The sequence below is a fragment of the Homo sapiens genome, chromosome 4, assembly GCF_000001405.40.
Source record: "Homo sapiens chromosome 4, GRCh38.p14 Primary Assembly".
Classification (NCBI taxonomy): Eukaryota; Metazoa; Chordata; class Mammalia; order Primates; family Hominidae; genus Homo; species Homo sapiens.
The window spans coordinates 55,110,860-55,124,443 of NC_000004.12; the positions used below are offsets into that span (position 1 = coordinate 55,110,860).

At 38.6% G+C, this 13,584-nt stretch overlaps 1 protein-coding gene across 1 annotated transcript in view; it reads right to left on the reverse strand.

Annotated features, from left to right (window-relative positions):
• KDR (kinase insert domain receptor) overlaps positions 1 to 13,584 on the reverse strand; it is a 47,115-nt gene that overhangs the window by 32,379 nt on the left and 1,152 nt on the right. The window contains exons 2-7 of the mRNA NM_002253.4: positions 10,238 to 10,331; positions 7,745 to 7,941; positions 4,422 to 4,552; positions 4,015 to 4,183; positions 3,267 to 3,406; positions 2,445 to 2,622 (exon numbers count right to left, since the gene is read on the reverse strand). Of these exons, the coding sequence (NP_002244.1) occupies positions 2,445 to 2,622; positions 3,267 to 3,406; positions 4,015 to 4,183; positions 4,422 to 4,552; positions 7,745 to 7,941; positions 10,238 to 10,331 (909 nt within the window). The remainder of the gene's footprint in view (positions 1 to 2,444; positions 2,623 to 3,266; positions 3,407 to 4,014; positions 4,184 to 4,421; positions 4,553 to 7,744; positions 7,942 to 10,237; positions 10,332 to 13,584) is intronic.

A 13,584-nucleotide genomic window follows, 5' to 3' on the forward strand; every position in this document is an offset into this window, starting at 1 on the left:
AGGGTCTGAGTAGCTGCAGTTCCAAGATTTCCTGTACTATCTTTCAGTGGGTCACTTTTCAGCTTCTCCCACACCTCCCGTGTTTCTCCCACACCTCCTGTGTTTGCATTTGCTTTTCTCTCCCCGCTAGTGCACTCCCACAAGCCTAGTGATTGCTCAAGTCTCAACTCAAACACTTGCTCCTCTGTGCAGCTTTCTCTAAGTCCCCCAGGGATGCTTGGGTGCTCCTTCTCCTCTGCTCCCATGACAGCCTCCACACACCTCTTCCACCATGAGGCCCCAGGACTCAGTCCTCAGACCTCCTCTTTATTTACACCTTCCTCTAGCCTCAGGTTTAAAGTATCATTCACGTACCTCCTAAATGTGTTATCTTCTGCCCTGACTCCTCTGGGTTCCGGGTTGATATGTTAAATATCTCCACTTGGATGTTTAACAGGCATCTCCAGATAAACATATCTAACACTGTTTCCCTAAATCTCACTGCCTTCTCGATCTTTGCCATCTCAGTAAATAACACCATCATTTACTCAGTTGCTCATGCTAACGCTCGAGTCATCTTCCACTCTTTTTCTCTTATACTCCACAACCAATGAATTGATCAGCGGACCCTGTTGACTCTACCTTCAAAATATATCCAGAAGCAGATCACCTCTCACTACCTCCACCTCAACTACCCTTGTCTAAGCCACCCCTCAACTCTCACTTGGATAACTGCAATTAGCCTCCCAACTGACCTCCTTATTTCTGCCCCTATTTCCCTGAAGTATTCTGGAAAACAAAAGTAATTCTATAAAAACATAAGCCAGAGCACATCTCTCTCTGTGTATTTTGACAAGTGCATCTTGGCAAGTGAAATAATTTAAATAAATTTAGGACACTTAGTGATTTCTATTTTGTTCATTCAGAAGAAATTTTCAAGTTCTTGCTAGGGATGCCACGTGACCTAGAGGTCAAGAGCATAGCTTTGTAGTCAGGAACTTGAGTTCCAATCTCAGCTTCAAAGATGAGATGAGCTAATAAAGTAAGTGCTCACTAAATCATACTTGTTATAGTTGTTGCCACTTTTATGATTACAACTCTAATAAATAGCATTATCTAAGGTATTTTTAAAATTTCACTGTATTGATGCATTCTCATAATATAAACTCCAAAATCCTTTCCAAGGCTTATAAGTAGGATGCCACACAAATTACCATGTAAACTCAGACATTTATGTAAATGAAAGAGAATAAACAAAAAATTAAGGTGATTTTCTCAAGGCCAGTTCAATTTAATTCCAGTTCAATTACAGTTGACCCTTAAATAACACAAACTTGAACTACATGAGTCCACTTATAAGCAGATTTTCTTCCACCTCTGCCACCCCTGAGACAGCAAAACCACCCCCTCCTCTTCCCCCTTTTCCTCAGCCTACTCAACGTGAAGACAAGGATGAAGACCTTTATGATGATCCACTTACACTTAATGAATAGTAAATATATTTTCTCTTCCTTACAATTTTCTTAATAACATTTTCTTTTCTCTAGCTTTATTGGAAGAATACAGTATATAATACATATAACATATAAAATATGTGTTAATTGACTGTTTATGTTATCAGTAGGGCTTCCAGTCAACAGTAGGCCATTAGTTATGTTTTGTGGAAGTCAAAAGTTATACCTTGATTTTTTTTTTTTTTTTTTTTTTGAGAAGGAGTTTCACTCTTGTTGCCCAGGCTGGGGTACAATGGCACGATCTTGGCTCACTGCAACCTCCACCTCCTGGGTTCAAGCAATTCTCCTGCCTCAGCCTCCTGAGTAGCTGGGATTACAAGCTCCCACCACCACACCAGGCTAATTTTTTGGATTTTTAGTAGAGATGGGGTTCCACCATGTTGACCAGGCTGGTTTCGAACTCCTGATCTCAGGTGATCCACCCACCTCAGACTCCCAAAGTGTTGGGATTACAGGCGTGAGCCACCGCGCCCGGCCTATACATGGATTTTTGACTGCAGAGGAGGGAAAGTTAGGGGAACTCCCCTGAGTTCCCCCAATCCCTGAGTTGCTCACAGGTCAACTGTATATTGCTAAATGTTTCCCCAGTTTGCAAAGCTCATGCTTATTCAAGTAGGCCTCTCAGCCTTGCAATAAAATGAAAATTTAAAAACTACCTTAGCTAATACTATTTATCATAGTAACAATCCTAATAGCAGCAATAACTATAATAAGTAATACTAAATGAACTCTTACTGTATATCAGCACATCTCATCTTTAAAGTTGAGGTTTGAACCCAAGTTCCTGACTACAAAGCTATGCTCTTGACCTCTAGGTCATGTGGCCTCCCTAACAAGAAAAACTAGAAACTATCTTCTGAATGAACAAAATAGGAATCACTAAGTGACCTAAATTTATTTAAATTATCTCACTTGTCAAGGCACAGAATAATTTCCAAGACCATAGCTTACCATGGACCCTGACAAATGTGCTGTTCTTCTTGGTCATCAGCCCACTGGATGCTGCACAGGTGTACAATCCTTGGTCACTCCGGGTTACACCATCTATAGTTAAGGTGCTCAAAAATTTCTTCATCTCACTCCCAGACTGGGTTTTTAGGTCTCGGTTTACAAGTTTCTTATGCTGATGCTGAAAAAAAGAGTTGACTGAACTTCCAAAGCACAGCATATAACATTACCCAATAACTTCTAGTAACACACAGAATTAAATCTGGGCTTTGGTAAACATTATTTAATGCTAAAAACAGGGACACCAGAACTTTTAACCTCATGCAGACAACAAATATATTTTGTTTCAGGAGAAATAAATGGAACCAACTGAATTAGGATTTTTAAAACCTCACGTGGTGAAAGTGAGATGGATATAAACTGCAGAAACACAAGTAAATGTGACCACTGTTTAAGGAGCAGTGTATCTCATGCCACCTCTTAAAGAGAAATTCCCTTAAAAGGAATGTAGATCAAAAACTTTGGAGAACAGAGAAATGACATAATGTGGAAAGATGTAATCACCTAGAGAAAACTAATATTCATAGCCTGGCTATTGCAGAATAGGACAAAATTCCTGGTATTTCACCTTTTGGTGGGTGCTATCTGTTCTGCAATTCCCTTAAATTGTGTGTGTGTGTATGTGTGTGTGAGTGGGTGTGTATGTGTGTGTGTTTAAGGCTCTTACATTTTATCTGGCCAAAGAGGCCCCTATCTCTCAAGCAAACTTCACTGGGGCTTATTATCTAAGTATTTGGAGGTCTGGCTTTGAATCATTAGCGTTACCTTCGAAGAAGGGTATTCCCAGTTGAAGTCAATCCCCACATTTAGTTCAGTTCTTGCTGTACAATTTAAGACAAGCTTTTCTCCAACAGATAGTTCAATTCCATGAGACGGACTCAGAACCACATCATAAATCCTATACCCTAGAGCAAGTAAATTGAAAAAACAGAACATGAGAGAGCAAATAAGCCTATAACTTTGCACAGATTTATTTTTTAAAGTAATGCAACTTTAAAACATGCCACATTGTTTTTCCCTGCAGGCCTCACCAATACTTGGTAGCTCCCAGGAAAATGGCCAACAGAGGTTTACAAAGCACTACCTTCACAGATCTCAAAGATGTTGTAACCCAGTGGACAGAAAAGTAGTAAACTTTCAGTGGTCAGTAGCCCTAGGCCAGTAGGGCCAGCTTTAGCAAATTGCTGAAGTTTCCATAAAATAGTCATAATTGAAATAATTGATAGCAAGCAATGCTCTGAACATTGAATTCTTCATAAAATGTGCTCGAGTAATACCATTCGCTTTCATCCTTTTTTTAAAAAGTTTTCTTTTTCTTCCTTAATCTTGGCAAGAAAAGAGACAACCTCAATTGCACATGGGTTTATTTGGTAGAGAAGAGCAGATGAATTGCCCAACACCATATCCTGAGTTCCTATACTTTTCAATATCCTTCTTCACTCTATGTTGTTATCTCCAAGATCTTAATACAAGGATATGTTATTAATGATATGGAAAGGAAATGTCCTCTTACCTACAACGACAACTATGTACATAATAGACTGGTAACTTTCATCATTAATTTTTGCTTCACAGAAGACCATGCCAGCATAGCTGATCATGTAGCTGGGAATAGTAAAGCCCTTCTTGCTGTCCCAGGAAATTCTGTTACCATCAGGAACAAATCTCTTTTCTGGGTATCTCTGGGTAATAAAAAGACATATCAAATATTTAATCCAGTACCAAAAATGAGAGCCATGTACAATGATCACTGAAGAATTCATCTTATTTTTAAGAATACTAATTAGTTTTATTCATTGCATTTGACCCTTCCTAAAGGATCCTTAAAACTCATTGTGAATATTATAAACAGGTTACCCATCTTAATATTAGCTTAAAATTATAAAAACTTAAGAGACGATTGGAGGAGATGCAACTTACTGCACAAAGTGACACGTTGAGATTTGAAATGGACCCGAGACATGGAATCACCACAGTTTTGTTTTTGTTCTCAGTAATGTACACGACTCCATGTTGGTCACTAACAGAAGCAATAAATGGAGATCTGTAATCTAGAAGAAAATTTAGTTTTATTAATGAGTTAATAGTATTTACTAGAAAAGTTGGTCATTTTTCAGGTTCCTAAACTCTAACCAGACAAGTGAATGACTGGAAGGGACACCTCACACAACCAAAGGCATCCACAGATTATTCTGCTGATAGATATCTGTGCTACATGAGGGTGTGTGTGTATGTGTGTGTGTGTGTTTGTGCATGCACATGCATGTGTATATATCTGTGTGTATAAAAATTTTGAAAAAAAACTCCCAATTGAGATTGACTCCTTTCACAAGGTTTATTGACAAGCAGAATATATTTTTATAGATTTCACATTTTAAAAGATTAATCATTATAATTTTTTCAAAATGAAGGATAATATTTACTTTAAAATTTAAAGTTAAATCTATACACTTTACCGACAAGTTTTACTAATATTTAAAATACTCATGTGCTCTCTCTTTAGGTAAATAATGTAAATTCCATGAAAATAAATGAATGGATCCCAAAGGATCTTTAGATTAACAGGAAACAGCTAACACTTTTGAATTTGGTTATTCAAGAGGACCATTCATGTGAGCATTTTAAGATTCTGAAGACTAGGGATATGATTCTTTCTAAAACCATGTTTAATTGTTTTTGCATTTAGTTTAACATTTAGCAGTCATTGATATCTTCAATGACAAACATTTGAAAAGTCACCACTCCAAAGACTGAGAAGAAAACTGAAGAGATTCTGACTGGGTTCTTGGCTCACGCCTGTAATCCCAGCACTTTGGGAGGCTGAGGCAGGTGGATCACTTGAGGTCAGGAGTTTGAGACCAGCCTGACCAACGTGGCAAAACCCCATCTCTACGAAAAATACAAAAAATTAGCCAGGCATGATGGCACGCACCTGTAGTCCCAGCTATTTCAGAGGCTGAGGCAGGAGAATCATTTGAACCGGGGGGCAGAAGTTGCAGTGAGCTGAGATAGCACCACTGCACTTTAGCCTGGGCAACAAGAGCAAAACTCCGTCTCAAAAAAAAAAAAAAAAAAAGATTTCAAGGCCAATCAAACATTACTCATACAATGTTAACATGCTGCTGGAAACCTAGTCCATTCCTCAGAGATAGAGATGATGTGGTGTGGAGTCATGCTTGAAATCTCAGAGAGATAACATTTCACATTGCTATGCCCAACACATCCCATCAAGCATTCTCAGAGTGCTTCATAATAGTCAGTCAAAGTGAAGAAAGAGTTAATTAAACCACAGGGGACAAAGGCAGCTAATTCCCTGCAACAGCAGAAGTTTGATTTCCTTCCCAGCTGGAAAGCACAGAAAAGCAGCCAATCTAGCCCACCACATGCCATAGCCATTATCTTATGAGGCCAGGGCTCACTTCCTGGCTCCATCCATTGCTGAAGAGAATGGGGTCAGAAGACTAGGGAAGTAAGGTGGCGACCAGAGGGGACATTAAACACCTATCCATAGAGAATACTTCAGTGTTTCCTTTCCCATTGTTTAACTTCATGGCCAAAATCTTGGACAGCCCAACTCCTAGAACTTTAAGCTTAGACAGGAAGCAGAATTTAATGGTATACCCAAAGACAGGCAGTGTACCAATAAACAGTGCTAGGGATTGCCACTTCTTAATATTGCCTACCTTTCATCCACATGTTATGAAATATTACATAACTTGCTTACAGAGCAAGCCTTTGGAAGCTAAATTAACCCTTTGACGTAAGACTAAACCTATTTAGTAAATCAATTCTATTTCGGTATCTCAAAAAAAGGAAATAAACAAAAGAAACCCAAACCACCACCCAGCCTCTCAAAATAAAATATTTACTGAAACTCATGAAATGAATTTTCACATGTCTCCAAGTTTCCTGACTTAGGAAGAAGTAAATAATGAGATATGGGGGATGTTCATCTTGTAGTATTTCTAGACAGGCTGAAAGCAGGAAATCCTTGCAATCTTCTGACCGAGCTGCATCTCTCAAGACTGCCAGGTCAAAAGGAGCCAGAAATTCTCCAAGATGTGAGCCTTGTCTCTTTCAAATCTTGTGGAGGGAAGGAGGAGGGCACAGAATTCTATCTTTGACAGTGCTTACTCTGGGCAAAGATATTTCTCAAACATTGTGAATCCAGTGGCATAGGTTATTTTGATGTGGTCTCCACTTTTTCATTGCACTGACCATATTACACTACTGAAATGTAAGCAGAGATATGCAAGTGTGTTTCCCAAAGCTGATGAAATTCTTGCCCTGTAAAAGCTGCTTCTGGGAAAAAAGTCTAAGTCATCTTCACCTGTCTCAAATACTCTGGGATGTAAAAAGGCATATACGTAAATACATAAAATGTCTGTTTATCTTCACTGAAAAGAAAAATATTTGGTACATCCAACCAAACTATGATGCAGCCCTTACATTCCTTAAATTTATATCATAGGGATCTCATTAGTTAAGTTAGGTTTTCACAGAAAAGATAAGATAGTGTAAGATTTTTGAAACACAAAAGAATGCATAACTCATTATAAATGCAGAATATGTGTGACATTTATTTTATACTATATGGATGTTAAGTCAGCCTTCATAATATCAATCCCAAACTGCACATCCTAGAAAGATACAGCATATCATCCAAGATCTCAGACCAAACAAGCAAAGGAAAGAAACATTGTCCTGAAAAGAGTCTGAAGCAATGTCTTTATTTGCACATGAGTATGGGAATTGTTTTTTATGAAATACTAGTAAGAAAAAAAGGTTCCTATGTGCAAAAAACTCCAGAGCCCTTGGCAAAAAATGCTTTCCTATGCATTCTTGGGAAAATCTCCTACTCTGCTGTAGATAACTTATCTCTCCACAGAAATTTCTCCATAATTCACCCCCAAATCTTCCTCGATTTCAAGAATTTTAGGTTTTCTTCTCAAACATAGGAAGACTTTTTATAAGTCTCAATGGCCAACAGTGAACACAGATTTACCTTGGAAACAAAGATCAGACCCAAACTAACTGGGCAAAAAAGAGGTAACACGGCCCAAGCTCCAGAATCAATGAGTCTTATTTCTCAGAGAAAGCCTCAGGAGAGAAGAATTGTGTGTATTCCTCTTGGCAAACAGCCTTTAGAGCAAGCCCTTTGTTGTACTCAATTCTTCTTTGAGCCTATTGTCTTTTATAACTGGTAAAGAGACGTGGGAAATGAATTTTATTTCACCACTTACCTTGAACATAGACATAAATGACCGAGGCCAAGTCAGTTTCCCGGTAGAAGCACTTGTAGGCTCCAGTGTCATTTCCGATCACTTTTGGAATTGTGAGTGTCTTACAGAAGAGGCCATCGCTGCACTCAGTCACCTCCACCCTTTGCTCACTGCCACTCTGATTATTGGGCCAAAGCCAGTCCAAGTCCCTCTGTCCCCTGAAAAATTAATTTCAGGGAGGTATTAATATGAAGTGCCAGACTGTGAGGCTATTTCTAAGAAAAGAGAAAATTTGGTTTTGAAACTTAAATAAACTCTTCAACAGACACAGTCAGTCTTCTACCGGCCAGGCATGGTGGCTCATGCCTATAATCCCAGCACTTTGGGAGGCCAAGGCGGATGGATCACCTGAGGCCAGGAGTTCGAGACCAGGCTGGGCAACATGGTAAAACCCTGTCTCTACTAAAAATACAAAAATGAGCCAGGTGTGGTGGCGCATGCCTGTAATCCCAGCTACTCAGGAGGCTGAGGCATGAGAATTGCTTGAACCCGGGAGGTGGAGGTTGCAGTGAGCCAAAATCACACCACTGCACTTCAGCCTGGGCAAGAGGGCAACCCTGCCTCAAAAAAAAAAAAACAAAGTCTTCTACCAACAAGTCAGATTGACATATGATGAAAAGTTATAAACTCAGCTTCAGAAGTCACTTATAAAGATTCCTGAGTTTTCCATTAATTAATGCATTCTTTCTTTCAACAAATATCTATTAAGCATCTACTATGTGCCAAACTTGTTAAGGACTAGAGAAAGAGCAGTGAACAAATCAGACAAAAATCAATGCCTTTATGGAACCTCAGTCTAACTGGAGAAAACAGGCAATTAAAAAGTAAGGAAAGTTTATTGTATAAAAGATAGTGTTTAGTACTATGGAGAAAAATATAGAAGATACAAAGAAAAGAGTAAAGAATTTTGCAGGAGGTGGTCTTGATAAAGCTAGCCATAGGAACATCATGAAGAGCAGTATTACAGGAGCAAAAACAGCACATGGAAAGGCCCTGGAGCAGGTGCATATCTGGAGTATTAAGGGAACAGCCAGGAAACCAGAGCAGCCAGGTAAGAGTGAGCAAAGGGGAGTAAGAAGTGAGGTTAGGAAGGAAGGAGGTGCAAGTAAGAGTCCCTCAGGACCTTGTAAGGACCTCGCATTAAAACATAGATGGCTTGTACTGCAGCATTTCTCTACAAGGCCCCAAGGAAGATAAGAAGATAGTCAACATCAAGAAGAATGTAACATTATTGGCCCTTCATTCAAAGAACTTAAAATTTCCAGGAAGTTGCAGCTAAATCAATGAAGTTACTTTTAACACACTCCATGGTTTTTTTCAGAACATAAGAAATGTTTATGCAGAGTTTTAAAAAGGGAGCATGGGATCCTTGGGGATTTCAAATAACCTTGTTATCGAGGGTCGGTAAAAGGAAAATCTAATGGGAAATGTGTCTTAAACAAGTAAAGCTAGAGAAACAGCACCTGCTACTGTGTTTTTTCCCAAGGGCTGGGTATTGGTAAGGGGCTAGGGTATTCTTTATACTGCAGTCTAAAATAGATGTATGTCATTCGGTTTAATGCTTAGTATTCAACAAGTATGAAGCAATGGCAATAACCTACCCAAGGTCCTTTGTGGACCCCCAGCACTCTTCCAGGAGGGTAACATCACCTCCACTTGTCACAGTCTCTACCAAAAACACACAGGTCCTAAGAAGGCTCCATGCCTTTCGTGTGTGATCACTATGTTAAACCCAAGGGTCTTCTATCTTTCGTCCTGGGGTAAGGGTTGAAAGGCAAAATTTAAAGGCCTCTTCTTCTTGACAAAGAAGTCTACTTCTCCAGTTATCAAAAATCAATAGCATGACTTCTTGCTAGCAAGTGGGGAAAGATGCATTCCAGAATATCAAGGCAGGGCCCGAAGTCCATTATTTATGTAGATCATGCGCTCAGTAATATTACCCACTAAATATTAAATTGCTATTAAATATTACTGCCTAAGTAATTATAGTAATAAATTTCTTATAAAGCAAAGTTTTTGGAAAGGGATAATAAGTGTTCAAGAATCATACCAAGCATAATAAATATAGTCCCAAATTTTTTCAACTCTATTCCTTAAATGTATGCCCTCAACTTCATTTATTCATTCATATTTATTGAGCGTATGTCTACTATACGCCAGGTGGCTGTACTGGTTATTGGAATGTGGGTGTGGGTGTGTATTTGTGTGCGTGTGTGTGTGTGTGTGTGTATGCATGTTGGCAGAGAATAGTATAAAAACACCAGCAAAATTGTACAGAATTTTTGAGAGAAAATTCTTCTCATTTTCCATTATTACATCAGTTCTTAGAAACCTCACCACTTATGAACAATTACTACAAGCTCTATTATAATTCTGCTCTACTGGAAATTATTTCCACTCAATAAACAATCAGTTACTTAACACAAGAAATCTAGATCTAGAATGAATCCTTACCTGCAAGTAATTTGAAGAGTTGTATTAGCCTTAATTGTAAGTATGTCTTTTTGTATGCTGAGCCTGGGCAGATCAAGAGAAACACTAGGCAAACCTAGAAACAAATTAAATAAATGAATGTAGTTGCCACTGAGTTAGACCTAATAGGAAACACCTTCCATAAACAATGCATACTCTATACTTTAAAAGGCCTCTTCAGCAATTCATTGTATAAAACTGGGAATTTACTTTTCACCATTCTCAGTAAAAGTTCACAAGCTGTGTCATAACAGGAAGAATGGGCAGATGGTCATAAACCAACACAACAGTTCTGCAATTCATGGAGCTAGGGTGGAGTTCCTGTTTTCCTGCATTGCCAACTTCAAGGTCTTACAAAAGGATACGGGACATTGAAACCAAATGAACCTTCATCTGATGATCTCACTCCCTTGGGAAAGGACCCACTGACATTTCTTATAGAACATAGGATGTACACATTTGACTAAATTGCTGATTAACGAATCCCACTTAGACGGATTTTTATATAGTTCATCTACGTACCCTGAAGGGAGTGAGAGAATCTATGACCTTGTCTCATTTTCCTTTATCAATTTTCTAGTGCGCTTCCCCTGGTAACCAAACTGCCACAGCTGAAATAATGGCTCATAAAGACTGTACATTAAAAGCAAGGGAGAGAAACTGAGGAAGAGAAAACATTCCCCAATTCCACACATACATGCATATTAATATACTTTTATGTATGTGTGGAATTTTCCCAATTTTACACATATGTGCAAATTAATATACTTTTCTGTCTACTGTAATTCATTAGCATTACCCTTTTTTTAAAAAGTATATGAATATTTTCGTGAAAAATTTTCCCAGTTTCACACATACATGCAAACTAATGTACTTTTCTCTCTATTGTAATTCATTAGCATTACCCTTTTTTAAAAACGTATATAAATTTTTTTAAGTGCAATGCTAATGAATTACAATTGGGAGATCTGAACTTATTCATCAAAGCCCTGAACTCATCCTGACATCAAGCTTCAGACATAAGAAACTTGTCTTTACCTATAAGGGATAAGAACCAGAAAAGTACCATGGCATAGATTCCTCACCATGGGTCACTCTACAGCAAGATAACTGAATTCTCTGTCAACTAAATGTGAAGAGCTATGAGGTGTTGAAAAAGCATGAGAGAAAGAAAAATTGTCCACTATGCTAGGGTCTTAATAAATATCAAGACCTAGAAAATACCAGCTTTAAAAAAGTAATTGATGTTGGGCAGGCTCCCAAGCTTTCTAAGTCATATCAACTAAGAAAAAATGACTCCCTAGGCCTAAACTGGCATTGACCTTGCTGGGCAAATAAGAGAGTATGAACAAATAGGACGAAGTATGAGACGGAATAAATAGAGAGAGTATAAGTAAATACCCAGTGCAAACATCCAGTGCATTGAATCTGAGGATCCCAATATGAACAAATGCAGGCAAAATGAATAAGTGACTGCACATGTTCTCACACACCACACAGATGTGCAAAATAAGTTACTGACATAACTGGTCAATATCATGGTTTTTAAGTCAATAATATGGTTTTTAAAAAACTGGAAACTAAGTTATATCAATATATCTCAGAAATTAACTGGCATTGGTACTGACTTATGTTTAGAACAGTTTTGTTCTTAAGACTTTAGACTCTGTCAGAATATCCCTGGGTCTACAAATCTGCATTTTAACAAGCATTTCAAATTATCCTACCACAGATGGTCTATGGGCCACTCTTGGACAGTTGCTGGTCTGGGTGGTCATGTTTAATTAATTTGCACAGTACTTTGTGCGTGGAACGGGGGTTACATTTATGTTTTAAATAGAGAATGGGGTCTCGCTATGTTGCCCAGGCACTTCTTGAACTCCTGGACTCAAGCGATCCTCCTGCCTCTGCTTCCCTAAGTGCTGGGATTACAGGAATGAGCCACTGCACCCAGCCTGCACAGTACTTTTTAATATGAAAGAAATAACTGCCCCCAAAACAGGCAAACAAAAAACCAAAATGTTTAAAAGCAAAATGAAACCTGGAGTCCCACTTTGTCTAAGAAAAGGAAAATGAAAACAATTCATTTGGATAACACAGATTTCAAACTTGACTGGGGAACACTAGGTTGAGAAAGATGCTGAAAACATGATGTACAATTCACACTGCCATCCAAATGAGAAAAAAACCATTATTTGGGCACATTCTTGTGAGAAAACAAATGGCAGTAAAAATGATTCTCAATAAACTGTGCCCACTCGGCTACCAAAATCAGAAACTCTTGAAGGTCTCTCATAATTTATTGCCACAGATCACATTCTAGACACACTTTCCTGTGTAACAAATATTTTAAAAAAGAAAAGGTATGTCCTTCATTCATAGGAAGCTGAGACTATGCCATACTATTCTAGAGACACGTTTACAACAAAAATCTATTCAACAAGGCTCTCAATAACTTCAAATTCATATTTGTAGACCAACATAGTTTTTTGTTTTTTGTTTTTGCTCCATTAAATGTCATTCGTTTTCATTGGCAAGCTTGAGCTGGACTCTTCAGAAAGTTCTAAAGAAATAACTGTAAGAGGTACACATGCTACTACTCAATAAAAAGCCCTTCTATGTTCAAATCCCATAACCAATATTAATTAATTTGTGCACTGTTACCCTTCCAGCTCAAAGACGGGAAGGAAAAACAACAGTGCCTCTGTCTCTAGAATTTGATGGCACCAATTACAGCCCAATCCAATTAAGCAAGTAATGCACTCCAAAAGGGCAAGTTCACCATTATATTCAGGGCGACCGGCCTGCCGTTACTACTACGCTAGGAAACACCCCAGGCTTAAAAGCAACTCACTTCTTTGTGGAATACAGAGCAACCACATGTTCCAGACCTTCATTCTCTGCCCAGAAAGGGGGAGAGAGAGGGCTTGTCTGGGACAAATGAGTGTCCATGGTGGACTGGACCCGTTGAACCAAGTCATTATAAAGAAAATTCAGTAACCATGGACAGATGATCCTGGTACTGTATGTGGGTGTGAGTGTCTTCTAAGACATGTGATTCTTGTCTTAGGGAGTAAGAAATTTTTTTCCCTGAATTATTCGACTTTTTTTTTTTCTTTCTCTGACCCTTTCCCCTTTCTCACCCTGCAAAGGGTGGAAATCTGGATATCAGCAAACTGGCTGCAGGAAAGAAATATTATCTAAGGGGTTGAGAGAGAAAGGAAAGTGAGGAAGAAAAGACAGACAGCTATTGCATGAAGAACGTGTGTGTTCCTAATTGAAGGAGACGGAAATTTTAGGCGGCAGGGAGAGGAAGGAATGGCACTAAA